The 15,598-nt window shown below is 45.3% G+C and overlaps 2 protein-coding genes across 3 annotated transcripts; one reads left to right on the forward strand and one right to left on the reverse strand.

The window, feature by feature from the left end:
• Nucleotides 1-1,891: 1,891 nt before the first annotated feature.
• On the reverse strand, nt 1,892-4,590 carry MOAP1 (modulator of apoptosis 1). Its single transcript, NM_022151.5, has 3 exons — nt 4,503-4,590; nt 4,252-4,406; nt 1,892-4,055 (listed from the first exon to the last, which is right to left on the reverse strand). The coding sequence occupies exon 3, from the start codon at nt 3,933-3,935 to the stop codon at nt 2,880-2,882; it is 1,056 nt and encodes a 351-aa protein (NP_071434.2). The 5' UTR covers nt 3,936-4,055; nt 4,252-4,406; nt 4,503-4,590; the 3' UTR covers nt 1,892-2,879.
• Nucleotides 4,591-4,666: 76 nt separating this feature from the next.
• LYSET (lysosomal enzyme trafficking factor) lies at nt 4,667-8,156 on the forward strand. Of its 2 annotated transcripts, none has more exons than NM_015676.3 (2): nt 4,667-4,725; nt 5,953-8,156. In NM_015676.3, exon 2 carries the CDS (start codon nt 5,969-5,971, stop codon nt 6,362-6,364), a length of 396 nt encoding a protein of 131 aa, NP_056491.1. In that variant the 5' UTR covers nt 4,667-4,725; nt 5,953-5,968; the 3' UTR covers nt 6,365-8,156. The 2 variants fall into 2 exon arrangements, with proteins under 2 accessions (NP_056491.1, NP_001092091.2); NM_001098621.4 differs by lacking the exon at nt 4,667-4,725 and adding an exon at nt 5,010-5,178.
• The last annotated feature ends 7,442 nt before the right edge of the window (nt 8,157-15,598 follow it).

Below are 15,598 nucleotides of genomic sequence, written 5' to 3' on the forward strand. Positions count from 1 at the left end.
CACAGATTTTCTTCCGTCTCTGCCACCACTGAGACAGCAAGACCAACCCTCCCTTTCCCCCTCAGCCTGCTCAATGTGAAGATGACAACCAGGATGAAGGCCTTTATGATGATCCACTTCTTTAATGAATTGTAAATATAGTTTATCTTATGATTTGCTTCCTTTTTTTTGAGACACAGTCTCGCTCTGTTGCCCAGGCTGGAGTGCAGTGGTGCCATCTCAGCTCACTGCAACCTCCGCCTCCCAGGTTCAAGCGTTTCTCCTGCCTCAGCCTCCCAAGTAGCTGGGATTACAGGTGCATGCCACCATACCCAGCTAATTTTTGTATTTTTAGTACAGATGGGGTTTCACCATGTTGGCCAGGTTGGTCTCAAACTGCTGAACTCAAGTGATCCACCCGCCTTGACCTCCCAAAGTGCTGGGATTGCAGGTGTGAACCACTGCATATGGCCATATAATTTTCTTAAGAACATTTTTTCTTTAGCTTACTTTAATATAGTATATAATACAAATAACATACAAAATATGTTAACCAACTTTCTGTTATTGGTAAGGCCTCCTGTCAGTAATAGTAAAGTTTTTGAGGAATCAAAAGTTATGTGCAGATTGTGCAGTGGGCTGGCTCCCCTAAGCCCCAAGTTGTTCAAGGGTCAACTGTACTCCCCTCCAATGCACATAAGATGGACACTTATGAAATGGAGCCAATGCCTGCCCTGCCTCCCTTGTGAGGCTATTCGGTATAGATACCCTGATGATTGTTTCTCTTTCTTGGCAGTAGAAAGAACATGGGCCTTGCAGAAAGACAAGAATTCTGGCCTAATCGCTCACTACACTTACTACAGAGGATAGAATTCTGGCCCAAGGATGTTTCACCTTGACCAAATTTCTTTTTTTTTTTTTTTTTTGAGACGGAGTCTCGCTTTGCCCAGGCTGGAGTGCAGTGGCACTATCTTGGCTCACTGTAACCTCCGCCTCCTGGGTTCAAGTGATTCTTTTGCCTCAGCCTCCTGAGTAGCTGGGACTACAGGCACCCGCCACCACGCCCAGCTAATTTTTTGTGTTTTCAGTAGAGACGGGGTTTCACCGTTAGCCAGGATGGTCTCTATCTCCTGACCTCGTGATCCGCCCGCCTCGGCCTCCCAAAGTGCAGGGATTACAGGCATGAGCCACTGCGCCCAGCCCTTGACCAAATTTCTAACCTTTTGTGCCCATTTCCACAAGTGTGAAACTGAGTTTTCCTATACCGCAGGAATTTTTTAAATTAATTATTATTTTTTTTTAGACAGGGTCTTGCTCTGTCACCCGGTTGGAGTGCAGTGGTATGATCATGGCTTGCTGCAGCCTTGACTTCCTGGCCTCAGGCAGTCCTCCAGCTTCAGCCTCCTGAGTAGCAGGGTCTGCAGGCGCACACCACCATGCCTGGCTAGTTTTTAAAAATGTTTTGTACTTACTATGTTGCCCAGGCTGGTCTCGAACTCCTGGGTTCAAGCGATCTTCCTGCCTCAGCCTCTCAAAGTGCTAAGATTATACTGCTCAACCTTTTTTCAAGAGGATTAAATGGGAAAGTACATGGAGAAACTTTTAGTCCAATCTTCCAAGCAGCAGCATGCAATGTTCATTTCTTTCCTTCTCCTTCCAAATTTGACACACTGATACATCTGCACTACTCGCACTAATTTGTGCACTGTCTTGTTTCATCCCATTGTTTTACTGCTTCGGTAGAAGGTCCCTTCACTTAGAAAACAATTTCCTACCCCTGAGCACCAAGAGGAAAGAGTCCAAGGAACTAAGTCTGTGTAGGTTCAGTGGTTTGCAGATTCATGCTTTGGGAACTCTTTATTCAAATGAAATCTCTCTTGGAACCGTGATATAAACAAAACAGACAAAGTCATTTTATTAGCATTCCTTTATTTTAGAAGTTCACACCTATAATTTTATAACAATCGTGAAAATGTTACTCAGAACTAGATGTTTTGATGACACATAGCAGAAATCTGTGGTTCAAGATGGTCATTGCAAACTTAACCAATCTCAGCATTCTATTCTGCCTTTTGTTTTGATTGCACAGAATCAATATAATTCTGATTCATATGGAAAATAACTTAATATCTTAACCTCCGCTCAGGATCTTCATCATAAATGTAGGTCAGTACATACCTAAAAATTGTCAATGATCCAACATGGTCACATGTGACATGCTACACTTGCACCTAGTACCAAACAAGCTGATACTTCAATGAGATCTGGTTGGCATATACACCCAAGCCTTGTCTGTCCCCTCAGAGCACTGCACACAGATAGTGAAAGAACTTGTGTACAATAAGAAATTCACAGGGATGAGGCTGGGCGCAGTGTCTCACGCCTGTAATCCCAGCACTTTCAGAGGCCGAAGCAGGTGGATCACTTGAGGTCAGGAGTTCGAAACTAGCCTGGCCAACATGGTGAAACCCCGTCTCTACTGATAATGCAAAACTTAGCTGGGCGTGGTGGCACATGCCTGTAGTCCCAGCTACTCGGGCAACTGAGGCAGGAGAATAGCTTAAACCTGGAAGGCGGAGGATGCAGTGAGCCAAGATCACGCCACTGCACTCCAGCCTGGGTGACAGAGCGAGACTCTGTCTCAACAACAACAACAAAGATATTCACAAGGATGAATTTAAATAGGTAAATGGCAGTGTAGAACTACATCCTTCCTAGTCAATTACACCTTTAGGAGACTTTAAATAGGCACAGAAACGACAAAGGGCTTATACTGAGAATTGCACAAAAATGAGTTACTTGGCAGCACAAGGTAGGGATTGTATGTGTCACAAGAGTATATAGACTGTTCTACCTTCATGCTCTACTCATTGCCATATCCCTTCGTGGTTCCCTGAGACTCAGGTGAAATTACCTTCCAATATTGCCTGGAGAAGGGCCTCCTCCTCCTCAGCTGCCTCATAATCCTTTATTAGTACCAATAACTGCAAGAAACCAGGGGCTGGGCCATCCTCTGGCAGATTAAGCTCTCTGCGAATTGTTTTGTGGACTGCCCCAGCAATGACTTGGTCTAGGCGGGCCTGATTCACAGCATCTCTCTCAATTGCTCCTCTCTGTACCAGCTTCTGTAACAAAGGCTCCAGCCTTAGTACATAAGCCGACAACTTTTCCTCATCCTTCTGGTAAGTGGTTAGATATTTGACCTGCAACTCCCTAGGATTATCTGTAACCCCAAATACCTCCTCAAGAGCCTGCAGACATTCATCGACAGTAATTAAAGGATTGTTTATCTTGAGGACACGAATAACATCAAGTGCTGGGCCTCGAAGGCTCTCTAGCAATCGCCTTCTCTTCTCTACATCTGGCACCTGCCACGCCTTTATCATCTGAGTAGTATGAAACATCCAGCGTCCAAATTCTTCTTCTCCTGGTTCTGGAGACTCCCTGCCCGAGAACACTCTCAGCTTTTTATACTTCAAGCATTGCAGGGCAGGCTGAAGAGCCTCTAATGCCTGTGCCAACATAGGGGCCCACATTTCCGGGATCATGCCCTGCTCTGGGTCTAAGGAGCCATTTTCATGTCCAAGAGCTCTGCTCAACTCACCCACTGTCATGCCCTCTCCCGCTAAAAATTCATTTAATCTGCTTAAAAATGTATTATCTGGGTCAGGGGGCTTAAAGATCACTCTCCAGATACCCCCTTTTCCCGGTATCTCCTTAGGGACCAGGGCGTGACTAGTCTCCGCAGTAAGCCCTACTAAGGCTACTTTCCTGTTCTCATCCCTCCTGAACATCCTTCCAAGCAGTCTGTACTCCCCCAAGGGAGCTAAACCAGCCTGCAGAGCCTCCTCGATTTCTGCCACACTGCAGCTCTGGGAGATGCCGGCAATCAATAGCGCTTTCCGAGGGTTCATGTCCATCCCCCTGCACCAGTCTTCTAAAAGCCTCAAAGTCATGGTGCCCGAAATAATAGACTTAAGTTCTAAATATGCCAGACCACAGGCGACCACCGAAATTCAAAGTAATCCTCCGCGGTACCCCAGAGAAATCTTGTCAACGTGCCGAGGTCCAGCAGCCTGCAAGACAGAGCAGACAGGTTAGCTAAAGGTGCCAACGTCCAGGGCAAGCGTGCAGGCCCCAAGCCCCGCGCGCCCTGCCCCCAGCGGCGACGCCAGGGCAGCCGCACTGCGGCGCGCGCCCCTCACCCCTCCCAGCCCTGGTGCCTGGCGGATGTCGGGCCTGCAGGGCCGCGTCGGGCCCGCTTCCACTCACCGTGATCTAGTGCTCGTGCCCGCGTCCGTGCGCCGGCGGCCAAGGTGCCTGGCCGGGCCCCGACGAGGCGCGGGAGGGCAGGCTCCCCTAGGCTCTGACGGACACTCGGGGGCCACAGCGACCGATGCCGGTACTCCAGGTGCCTGTGGTACTGTCTGCAACGAGAAGTGATGGGGCGATGACAGTCGCGAGCGGGCACCAGGGGGCAAGGCTGAGGAGCGCTGAGTCGCCAGACCCAGAGAGCCACCCACCTGGAGGGACGTGCCGCCACCCGCGCCGCCGGAGCTCCGGCTCCAGCCCGGATTCCACCTGTTTTGGTCTCGCTCGGGGAAGCTGCGCGGCGGGCGGGGGCGATCTGACGTCATGAGGGGCGGGCCTCGGGGGCGGGGCGCGCGCGCTTCCGGCCCGAGCCGGAAGCTCCGACTGCGGCGGCATCCGGGACGGCGGGCGGGCTGGCCACCACGGGACAGGAAGGTGAGATCCGGGACCTCAGCTTTGCAAGCAGGCTCCGCCGGCGACCGCTGACGGGCGCTGGGCTCGCGGCGCTGCAAGGCGGCGAGGCCCGGGCCTGGCGCCGCCTGCGCAGCCTTGGTCGCGGCGTGCCGGCGCTGCAGCGCGGCAGGGGGCGGGGCCGGCCGCCCGGAGGCCCAAGTGGCGGGGACGCCTCCCTGCCGGGTCAGGTTCTCAGAGCGGGTCTCCGGCGGCGGCGACGGGGGCCGGGCCGCGCGTGACCCGCCGCAGTCACGCCGTTCTTAATCACTAGTAGCTGGTGCTCCAGGCTGGCGGCGCTCACCTTTCTCCTAGCCGGGTGACCCAGGGGATTTATTTTATGTTGGCTTTCTCTGAAATGCCAAAGCCACCCGATTATTCAGAGCTGAGTGACTCTTTAACGCTTGCCGTGGGAACAGGAAGATTTTCGGGACCATTGTAAGTGCTTAGGAGTTACTGTCTTAACTTGGGGGCTTGACTTGTAGCACCCCGCGTTCACGTCTGAAGCAGTACTGTTATGCCAGAAAGTGTTTCACCTGTCAAAGTGAAATGTGCTGTGAGAAACTAGTTTAATTCCAGTTTCTGGAGGGCGGGTATTATGGACCTGTTTAAGTAGGATGCAGTGATTTATTCTGAGGGATTCCCGTTAAAAAGCAGAACTCAGTATATACTGAAATCAATGGTTTTTTGTTTTTTTGTGTGTGTTGTTTTACTTGATTGTAAGTATTACACAAAACAACCTGTAAGTTTTACATTTCTTAATAGGTGTTTAATTTAATTATTTTAAATCTTAAGTGTGTTAGTGGGATATTTTAGAATTCTTTTTTTTTTTTTTTAATTAGACAGAGTCTCGCTCTGTCGCCCAGGCTGGAGTGCAGTGGCGTGATCTCGGCTCTCTGCAAGCTCTGCCTCCTGGGTTCACGCCATTCTCCTGCCTCAGCCTCCCGAGTAGCTGGGACTACAGGTGCCCGCCACCACGCCCGGCTATTTTTTTTGTATTTTTAGTAGAGACGGGATTTCACCATGTTAGCCAGGATGGTCTCTATCACCTGACCTCGTGATCCACCCGCCTCAGCCTCCCAAAGTGCTGGGATTACAGGCGCGAGCCACCGCGCCCGGCCTAGAATTCTTGGAGATAAAGCAAGTACATTTGGAGTAGTTGCCGTGACAGCATTACTAGACCCTAATTGTATTTTCTTTTTTAATTTGAAGGCACAGAGCATGGAGAATGATGAACTTCCGTCAGCGGATGGGATGGATTGGAGTGGGATTGTATCTGTTAGCCAGTGCAGCAGCATTTTACTATGTTTTTGAAATCAGTGAGACTTACAACAGGCTGGCCTTGGAACACATTCAACAGCACCCTGAGGAGCCCCTTGAAGGAACCACATGGACACACTCCTTGAAAGCTCAATTACTCTCCTTGCCTTTTTGGGTGTGGACAGTTATTTTTCTGGTACCTTACTTACAGATGTTTTTGTTCCTATACTCTTGTACAAGAGCTGATCCCAAAACAGTGGGCTACTGTATCATCCCTATATGCTTGGCAGTTATTTGCAATCGCCACCAGGCATTTGTCAAGGCTTCTAATCAGATCAGCAGACTACAACTGATTGACACGTAAAATCAGTCACCGTTTTTTCCCTACGATTACAAAACTGCCAGTCCTATATGGAGTCTGATCACAAGACTGCAGTTTCTTCACAGATCTCAGGAAGTTGTCGTGGGGCAGAGGCTTTTTAAAAACATGTGATTAGGGAGCTATCTTTATCTGAATAATAACGAATTTTTAGGTAAAACCTGAGATAGAGTACTACAAAATCATGTTGATGACTTCAGATTTTGGAAGTTAAATCATGTCTGTTATTTGCATTCTTTAGAAACTTGACTAAGTACCTGAATTCATATTTCTATTCTACTGTGCAACATAGTGATGATTCAGAAATTTTTCCTTTGGGGAAAAAAATGAATATGAACATTTCCATTGTGTTAAGTGTAAAAAGGTCCAGACATGATCATAAAATTTAAATTTTATACAATTACTTGGCTTGCTTTAAAATTCTTCACACTTAAAACACCGATTCATTCTATTGCAGCTAAGCCAGCTGTCTAGACTTGCTGTCAGCTTATGAGGCATTGCTAAAAAATTATTGAGGAAATGGCTGTCTTGATAAGCAGAATTTGTTCTTCCTCTTGGTAATGGCTAAATTATTATTAATGCTTTTAATGGTTTTATTTTTTATATTTTTCTTTTTTGTGGAGAATGGGGTCTCGCTATGTTGCCCAGGCAGGTCTCGAACTCCTGGGCTCAAGCTTTCCTCCTCTCTCTGGCTCCCTAAGTGCTAGGATTACAGGTGTGAGCTACCATGCCCAGCTATTTTTAATTAAAAAAATTTTTTTTTTCCATGACTTGTGACACAGTCTCAGAAGGCCCTGAGAACGTACGCTCCAATGCTACTGATTTAGAAAACTATCTGGGAAGAAACTAAGTGTTAAATGTTGAAAGGCTAGAAATAACTTACAAATAGAAGATGGAAACAATGTGTTCAATGAAAATCTAGCAGGTTATTTATTATTTATTTAAATTATTATTATTATTTTTGAGACGGAGCCTTGCTTTGTCACCCAGGATGGAGTGCAGTGGTGCAGTCTTGGCTCACTGGAACCTTCGGCTCACTGCAACCTCCACCTCTCGGGTTTAAGCGATTCTCTTGCCTCAGCCTCCTGAGTAGCTGGGATTACAGGTGACCACCACCATGCCTGGCTGATTTTTGTTATTTTAGTAGAGACAGGGTTGCAGCATGTTGGCCAGGCTGGTCTCAAACTCCTCACCTAACTAAGGTAATCCACTTGCGTCAGCCTCCCAAAGGCCTGGGATTACAGGCATGAGCCACCATGCCTAGCTGTATTTATTTATGTTATTTATTTTGAGATGGAGTCTTGCTCTGTAGCCCAGACTGGTGTGCAGAAGTGCGATCTCAGCTCACTGCAACCTCCACCTCCCAGGTTCATGCTATTCTCCTGCCTCAGACTCCCGAGTAGCTGGGATTACAGGCACCCACCACCATGCCTGGCTAATTTTTGTATTTTTAGTAGAGACGGGGTTTCACCATGTTGTCCAGGCTGGTCCCGAACTCCTGACCTCAAGTGATACACCTCAGCCTCCCAAAGTACTAGGATAACAGGCATGAGCCACCATGGCCAGCCTATAGCAGGTAATTTAGTCCAGTCCTTATCAGATGCATGAGACCCCTCTAAAAGATGCTATCAAGTCATAATCTTTCTGATTTTCTTTTCTGGCCCAAGGTCAGGTCATCAGGCAGTAGGTTAATTACATGAAGATGTGTTCCTGTACCTTCTCCTTTGCATTTGTACTACCTCACATCTGGTACTAATACAAATAACTAAAACATGGACACAGTAGCATTTCTTTTCTGCATGAGATCAAGATATATTTTTATACAGTTATGTCATTAATACTGGAAAACATTTTATGCTTTTAATAATCAACACTTTTTGATGCTTATTCTGTTGGGCCCTATTCTAAGAGCTTTATGGAAATTAACTAATGTAATCCTCCCAACAACCCTATAAGATGGGTATTATTATCCAGATTTCACAGATAAGGAAACTGAGGCAGAGAAGTCAAGTAACTTGCCAAAGGTCACAGCGAGTAGCAGAGCCAGGGTTATAACCAGGCATTCTAACGCCATCGTTACTAACCACAGAGGCATAGCGCTTCTCACAAATGACAAATGTTTTAGCACTGGGTACTCTTTGCCCAGTCATGCCAAAGAATGGAAATGGCAATAGTATTGACAAGTTTTTCTCTATTTGTCTACTAGAAATCTGAAAGTTTCCTAGCAACCTCATCTTTCCACTACATCTGACTGAACCCGAAAGGAAGGCTGAGTATTCCATAGCAAGCTGTTACTTAAAAGATAAAGCAGGTACCTTTGTGATGTAAAAGTAGCAGATCAGATCCTTCAGATCAATTAGTCTCATTTATCTCACTGCCTCCAAAGGTCTAGTTACTGAAATGATATATCTTTTGATATAACACGTGGAATCCTCAAAGTAAGCAGCAGTTTGAAATACTTGTTTTTGTGAGGGTCAGATGACCAAATCACTTGCATCTTTTAAGTATTCAGTATGCATGTTACAGACATTGTTTATGAGTGATTTACATTTATTCTTCACAACAGTCCTGGGAGGCAGGTATTATACTGCTACTAGTGTCATTTTACAGAAGAAACCTGAAACACGTAGGAATAACTTGTCCATAGTCACATAGCCAGTATGTGAAAGAGCCGATTTGAACCTAGGATGTTGGCTTCAGATCTCCAGCTTTTTATCATTCTATACTGCTTCTCAAAAAGGAGAGTAATTTGAGGGAAATCATTGAGAGTTGCCAGTTTTATTAGTCTTGAGGCAGTGATTTAAGAAAATTATTTCAGTTTTGTTTTGTTTTATAAATGCTTTATGTAGGCTGGGAGTGGTGGCATCTGTAATCCTAGCACTTTGGGAGGCAGAGATGGGAGGATAGCCTGAGCCCAGGAGTTCATGACCAGCCTGGGCAACATGGCGAGACCCCATTTCTATTAAAAAGGGGTGGCTCATGCTACTCCCAGCACTTTGGGAGTCTGAGGTGGGCAGATCACTTGAAGCCAGGAGTTCAAGACCAGCCTGGCCAACGTGGTGAAACCCTGTCTCTACTAAAAATAGAAAAATTAGCCACGGCTGGTGGTGCATGCCTGTAATCCCAGCTACTCAGGAGGCTGAGGGAGGAGAATCGCTTGAACCCAGGAGGGAGAGTGGCAGTGAGCCAAGATCGCATGGGCCACAAGAGCAAGATTCCATTGCAAAAAAAAAAAAAAAAAAAAAAAAAGGTTATGTAATGCAAGGTTTGTGAGGTTGCCACTGGTATTGCAAAGTTTTCTTAATGAAGTTGATTCATCTCTTTTTATACTTCAAATTCTAGTATTTTGGGATTTGGTAAGCAAATGTTCAGTCCATCTCTATCTTTCAAGATTATATTGCCTTTTGCCTTGATAGAAGAAATAGTAAAATAATTAGAGTAGGATTAATGTAGTAAATTCAGTATTTCCAAATGTAATTACTATATTTCAGATTGCAGGTTTAATCTGCTTTTTGATTAGGAGCTATTTATCCAAGTTGTGGATTATTTCTGGTTTGTGGCTATTTAATAGTTCAAAGCATTTTTTAGGTAAGGTAAAGAGGGAAAAGTGAAATATATTTTTTAATCTGTTAGCTCTTGGATTGAGGAAGAGGTTGAAATTGATGGTTAGGAGACCTGTGTGTGATAGCAGATCATCATTTTTTTTTCTTTTCTTTTTTTTTTTTTTTTTTTTGAGACAGAGTCTCGCTCTGTCGGCTCAGGCTGGAGTGCAATGACGTCTCGGCTCCCTGCAACCTCTGCCTCCTGGGTTCAAGTGATTTTCCTGCCTCAGTCTCCCAAGTAGCTGGGATTACAGGCGCACGCCACCACACCTGGCTAATTTTTGTATTTTTAGTAGAGATGGGGTTTCGCCATGTTGGCCAGGCTGGTCTCAAACTCCTGACCTCAGGTGATCCACCCGCCTTGGCCTCCCAAAGTGCTGGGATTACAGGTGTGAGCCACTGTGCTCAGCCCATTTATTTCATGTTCACATCATAATACAAAAAGCAGTGAGTACAGGATTACTTAGTGAGATGAATGGCAAATAGAGTAAGTGCTTCAGGGATTTTAGGGAGTGGACATTCTAGGATTCATAACTAGGAAACACTCGCTTCCAGAGATGAGAAAAATAGAGCTATATCCTACAATGATTTGATAGGTGATTTTATTTGCAACTATATGTGAAATGAAGTAATCCTGTTGAGACTTTTCACCAAAACATGCCAGATATTTTTTCAAAAGTGCCAGTATAGGGAACAGAAAACTGAATTACAGAATCATGTAATTCATGGAGCTTTAGTCCCCATGTAAATTTTCTGGTTTTAAAGATGCTACCAGTTTTTAAGTTGTCTCGTTTTTTAATATTAAATTGTTCTTAATACCAGTTTTAAAGTAAAAGTTGTGATTCCTTGAAGGTTAGAATTTGGTTCTATTTCAAAATTTGTACAGTTAACAGAAAGCTTTTCTTTGGGGAAGTGCAGTCATCAGATAAAGTGCTTCTATGAGTAACTGTACCCACAAAGCCATGGAACCAGCATATTTGTTCATGGTGAGTAGGATTAGTCTTTTTTTTTTTTTTTAAAGATTATCAGCTGGGCGTGGTGGCTCATGCCTATAATCCCAGCACTTTGGGAGGCCGAGGCAGGCGGATCACTTGAGGTCGGGAGTTCGAGACCAGCCTGATGAACATGGTGAAACCCCATCTCTACTAAAAATACAAAATTAGCCGTGCGTGGTGGTGTATGCCTGTAATCCCAGTTACTCGGGAGGCTGACGCAGGAGAATTGCTTGAACCCGGGAGGTGGAGGTTGCGGTGAGCTGAGATCACGCCATTGCACTTCAGCCTGGGCAACAAGAGCGAAGCTCTGTCTCAAAAAAATAATAAAAATAATAAAAAAAGATTATCTAGTGTTGATTCCCATCTTGATGGATTTAACATTCTCAATCTCCAAAACACTGGCAGAAAAACTTACCACAATACCATGTCTCATCTTTGCAGCAAATATGTGCCATCATTTAATAAATTTTCCAACATAAAAAGAAGTGCCATATAATTTTGGACCATGATTGGGAATCATGATGCATTTGTATTTATGCTTTCCTCTAAGGCAGTGAATAGGTCTTAGACTGTGGCTGTATGTACATTAGAATTACCCAAAGAAAACTTCTTACATTTAAACAATGCCAGGGTCCCTTTCCAACCAGTTACATCTCTGGGATGGACCCCAAGCAATCTTCAAATGATTCTCTCAGGGTTGCAAATCACTGGTCCATGGGTTTTTATGTGCCGTTTACCAAAAACTCAACTGTCATGAGAATTGGGCTTGTCTTTGGAACAGCTTCAACAAATACGTTGCAGTTTAATTCACCCTAGCCATCTTAATTGCAAATCTTTAGAGTTGTCTCTTTTGATTTCGAGTCCTCTCCTCTCTTTTGATTTCGAGTCCTCTCCTCCAGTTTGTCCTGAATATACTTCTATCAGGCTTTTGCCTCCCACTCTACCAAAACTGCTGTCCTGTCAGGAAGTTGCTGGTCACTTACACATAACTAAATCCAATGGTCAAGTCTCAGTCCTCAAATTACTATTACTATTAGTTTTTGACACTCCCTGTCCTTGAGATACTTTCTTCAGTTGTCTTCCTGACCAGCACTGTCCAATAGAACTTTAGCAATGCTGGCGATGTTCTGTATCTTTGCTGTCCAGATCAGTAGCCAACAGCTACCTGAAAGGGGCCCTTGAAATGTGGCTAACATGAGCCTGGCATGGCGGCTCACACTGGCATGGCGGCTCACACCTGTATGCCGACAACTTGGGAAGCTAAGGTGGAAAGATACCCTGAGCCCAGGAGTTCGAAGCTGCGGTGAGCTATGATTGCACCACTGCACCCCAGCCTGGGCAACAGGGTGAGATCCTATTTCTAAAAAAAGAAATGTGGCTAATGTGACTGAGAAACTGAGTTTTAAATTCTAATTAAATAGCATATGTGGCACCATGTATTAGATGGTCCCATTCTAGATATTTAACTGGTTTGCCTTCTTCCTCACCAGCTTTTTTTTTTTTTTCCTTTTTTTTTGAGACAAGCTGTTGCTCTGTTGCTCAGACTGGAGTGCAGTGGTGCGATCTCAGCATACTGCAGCCTCCATCTCCCGGGTTCAAGCGATTCTCCCACCTCAGCCTCCCAAGTAGCTGGGACCACAGGCGCGTGCCACCATGCCCGGCTAATTTTTGTATTTTTAGTAGAGGTGGGGTTTCACTATGTTGGCCAGGCTGGTCTCCATCTCCTCACTTCAAGTGATCTGCCTACCTCGGCCTCCCAAAGTGCTGGGATTACAGGCATGAGCCACCACTCCTGGCCCTCAGCAGCTTCTTAAGTCTTTGCTAGTTCCTTGTTGGAGATCTGCTCAACCTCTAAATGTTGGAGTGCCCCAGTTCTTTTTTCTGTGTGTACTCCTTTGGACATCTCATCCATGACTCATGGCTTTCAATATATGAATTGGCCAGGCGTGATGGCATGAGCCATGCCTGTAATTCCAGCACTTTGGGAGGCCGAGGTAGGCAGATCACTTGAGGCGAGGAGTTGGAGACCAGCCTGGCCAACATAGTGAAACCCCACCTCTACTAAAAATACAAAAATTAGCCGGGCATCGTGGCACGTGTCTGTGATCCCAGCTACTTGGGAGGCAGATGTGGGAGGATCACTTGAGCCTGGGAGGTGGAGGTTGCAGTGAACGGAGATTGCACCACTGCACTCCAGCCTGGGCGACAGAGCAAGAGCTTGTGTCAAAATAAATAAATATACAAATTTATGTCACTACCTTGGATCCCTCTCCTGAGCTCCAGACTTGACTATCCAGTTGCCTACTTGATAGGCCTTGACATGGTGCTTGGTAATATGTCTTACCAGGCACATGAAATTGAACCTATTCAAATCTAAGCTGCCGATCTCTCCACCCATCAAAATCTGTTCCTCGAGTTTCCTACGAGTCTGTTATCATCCATGTGGTCAGGGGGATCCTTTTAAAATGTTACTCCTCTCAAAAATCCTCCCATAGCTTCCCTTCTCAGAATGAAAAGCAAAGTCCTTCACATGGCAAGTCCTAAGTAAATGGCCCTGCCCTGCCCTTGACCTCATTTTCATTTTATTTATTTATTTATTTATTTATTTGAAATGGAGTTTCACTCTTGTTGCCCAGGCTGGAGTGCAGTGGCCAGATCTCAGCTCACTGCAACCTCTGCCTCCTGGGTTCAAGTGATTCTCCAGCCTGAGCCTCCTGAGTAGCTGGGATTACAGACACCCGCCACCATGCCCGGCTAATTTTTGTATGTTTAGTAGAGACGGGGTTTCACCATGTTGGCCAGGCTGGTCTCGAACTCCTGACCTCAAGTAATCCACCCGCCTCAGCCTCCCAAAGTGCTGGGATTACAGGCGTGAGCCACCACACCCAGCCTTGACTTCATTTTCTACTACTCCCTCTGCCCTTGACTCCACTCCAGACACTGGTCTTCCTGCTGATTCTTGAACTCACCAGAATACGCTGCACTCAGTGTGTCTTCTGCCTGGATGCTCCACCCTGGCCTGCTGAAATGTCACCTTAGTAAGGCTGCCTCTGATGACCCCTATTTGAAATTAACCATCCACTTTCCGTTTTTCTCCATAGCACTTAGCACCATGTACTATGTTATATATTTTGTCAGAATCTGAAGTCTATGATAGCAGAAATTTTGTCTCTTTGTGCAGTGCTGCGGGCCCTATGCCTAGAACAGTGCCCAGCACATAGCAGTTGCTCAGTAATATTTTTATTGAATAATTCTTATTGCCACTGAACACTTCTTGCTAGACCACAAAGCAATCTAGTTCACTGTCCAGATAGAATAAAGGTTAAAAGTTAACATCTGGCTGGGTGCAGTGGCTCACACCTGTAATCCCAGAACTTTGGGGGGCCGAGGCAGGCAGATCATCTGAGGTCAGGAGTTTGAGACCAGCTTGGCCAACATGGCCAAACCCCGTCTCTACTAAAAATTTAAAAATTAGCTGGGCATGCTGATGCATGCCTGTAATCTCAGGTACTCAGGAGGCTGAGGCAGGAGAATCACTTGAACCTGGAAGGCGGAGGTTGCAGTGAGCTGAGATCACGTCACTGCACTCCAGCCTGGGTGACAGACCAAGACTCTGTCTCAAAAAAAAAAAAAAAAAAAAAAGTTAACATTTACTGTTAAATGCATAGTACAATCTGTCCCATCTTCTAGTTTAATTGTTGAGCTCTTTCATATTTCAGCATGTAGGGGTATATTATCTTCAAGGCCAAGATTTAAAATGAGTATCTCAACTTACTTATTTATTTTAGATCCAGGGACAGACCAGAAATTTTTTACTGACAGTTCTTGTAATATTGGTTGTCTTGGAATTTTCTTTATTTTTTGTTTTTATTTTTAGAGATAGGGTTTCACCACGTTGCCAGGCTGGTCTCAGAGCCCTGGGTTCAAGCGATCTGCCCACCTTGGCCACTCAAAGTGCTGGGATTACAGATGTGAACCACCATGCCTGGCCAATTTTCTTTACTGATGCAGAGAAAAACACATTCACAAATAAGGTTTAAGTGGTGGTTAGAGTCCCTGAGAAATTCTCAAGCTACAATCATGAAGATAATGGTTTTTTAAACCACCTAACATGCAGCAAGTATCACAGCTCTTTTTTTTTTAAGAGATGGGGTCTTGCTATGTTGCCCAGGCTGGTTTCAAGCTCCTGGGGCTCAAGCAATCCTTCTGCCTCAGCCTCCCAAGGTGCCGGGATTACAGGTGTGAGCCACCATGCCTGGCCAAGTGTCACAACTCTTAGAGCTACAGCACACAATTCCAGTACTCTGGTGTTCAATATCTTGGACTCATAAAGCACTCATTTAAACTACTGTTTCTAGAAGTTACTTCTATCCCCAGTAGAATTTTTTGCATTGGAATAAATCTCTATTTAAAACTGCACCCTATGGCCTGTTACTATCCCAATGTCAGCTGCTACTTTTTAAAAGATTTAAATAGAAGCTTACTGTCTAACTTCAGTTTCCTGGGCCATGTCTTTAAATAGAGCAATTCTGATCTCAAAGGTCACCTGAGAAGTGGAGTACTTATAGCAACATTGTGAAATTCATTTTATACTTTGAAAATAACACACTGGCTATAGGGCC

This window comes from Homo sapiens, chromosome 14 (genome assembly GCF_000001405.40).
Source record: "Homo sapiens chromosome 14, GRCh38.p14 Primary Assembly".
Taxonomy (NCBI): domain Eukaryota; kingdom Metazoa; phylum Chordata; class Mammalia; order Primates; family Hominidae; genus Homo; species Homo sapiens.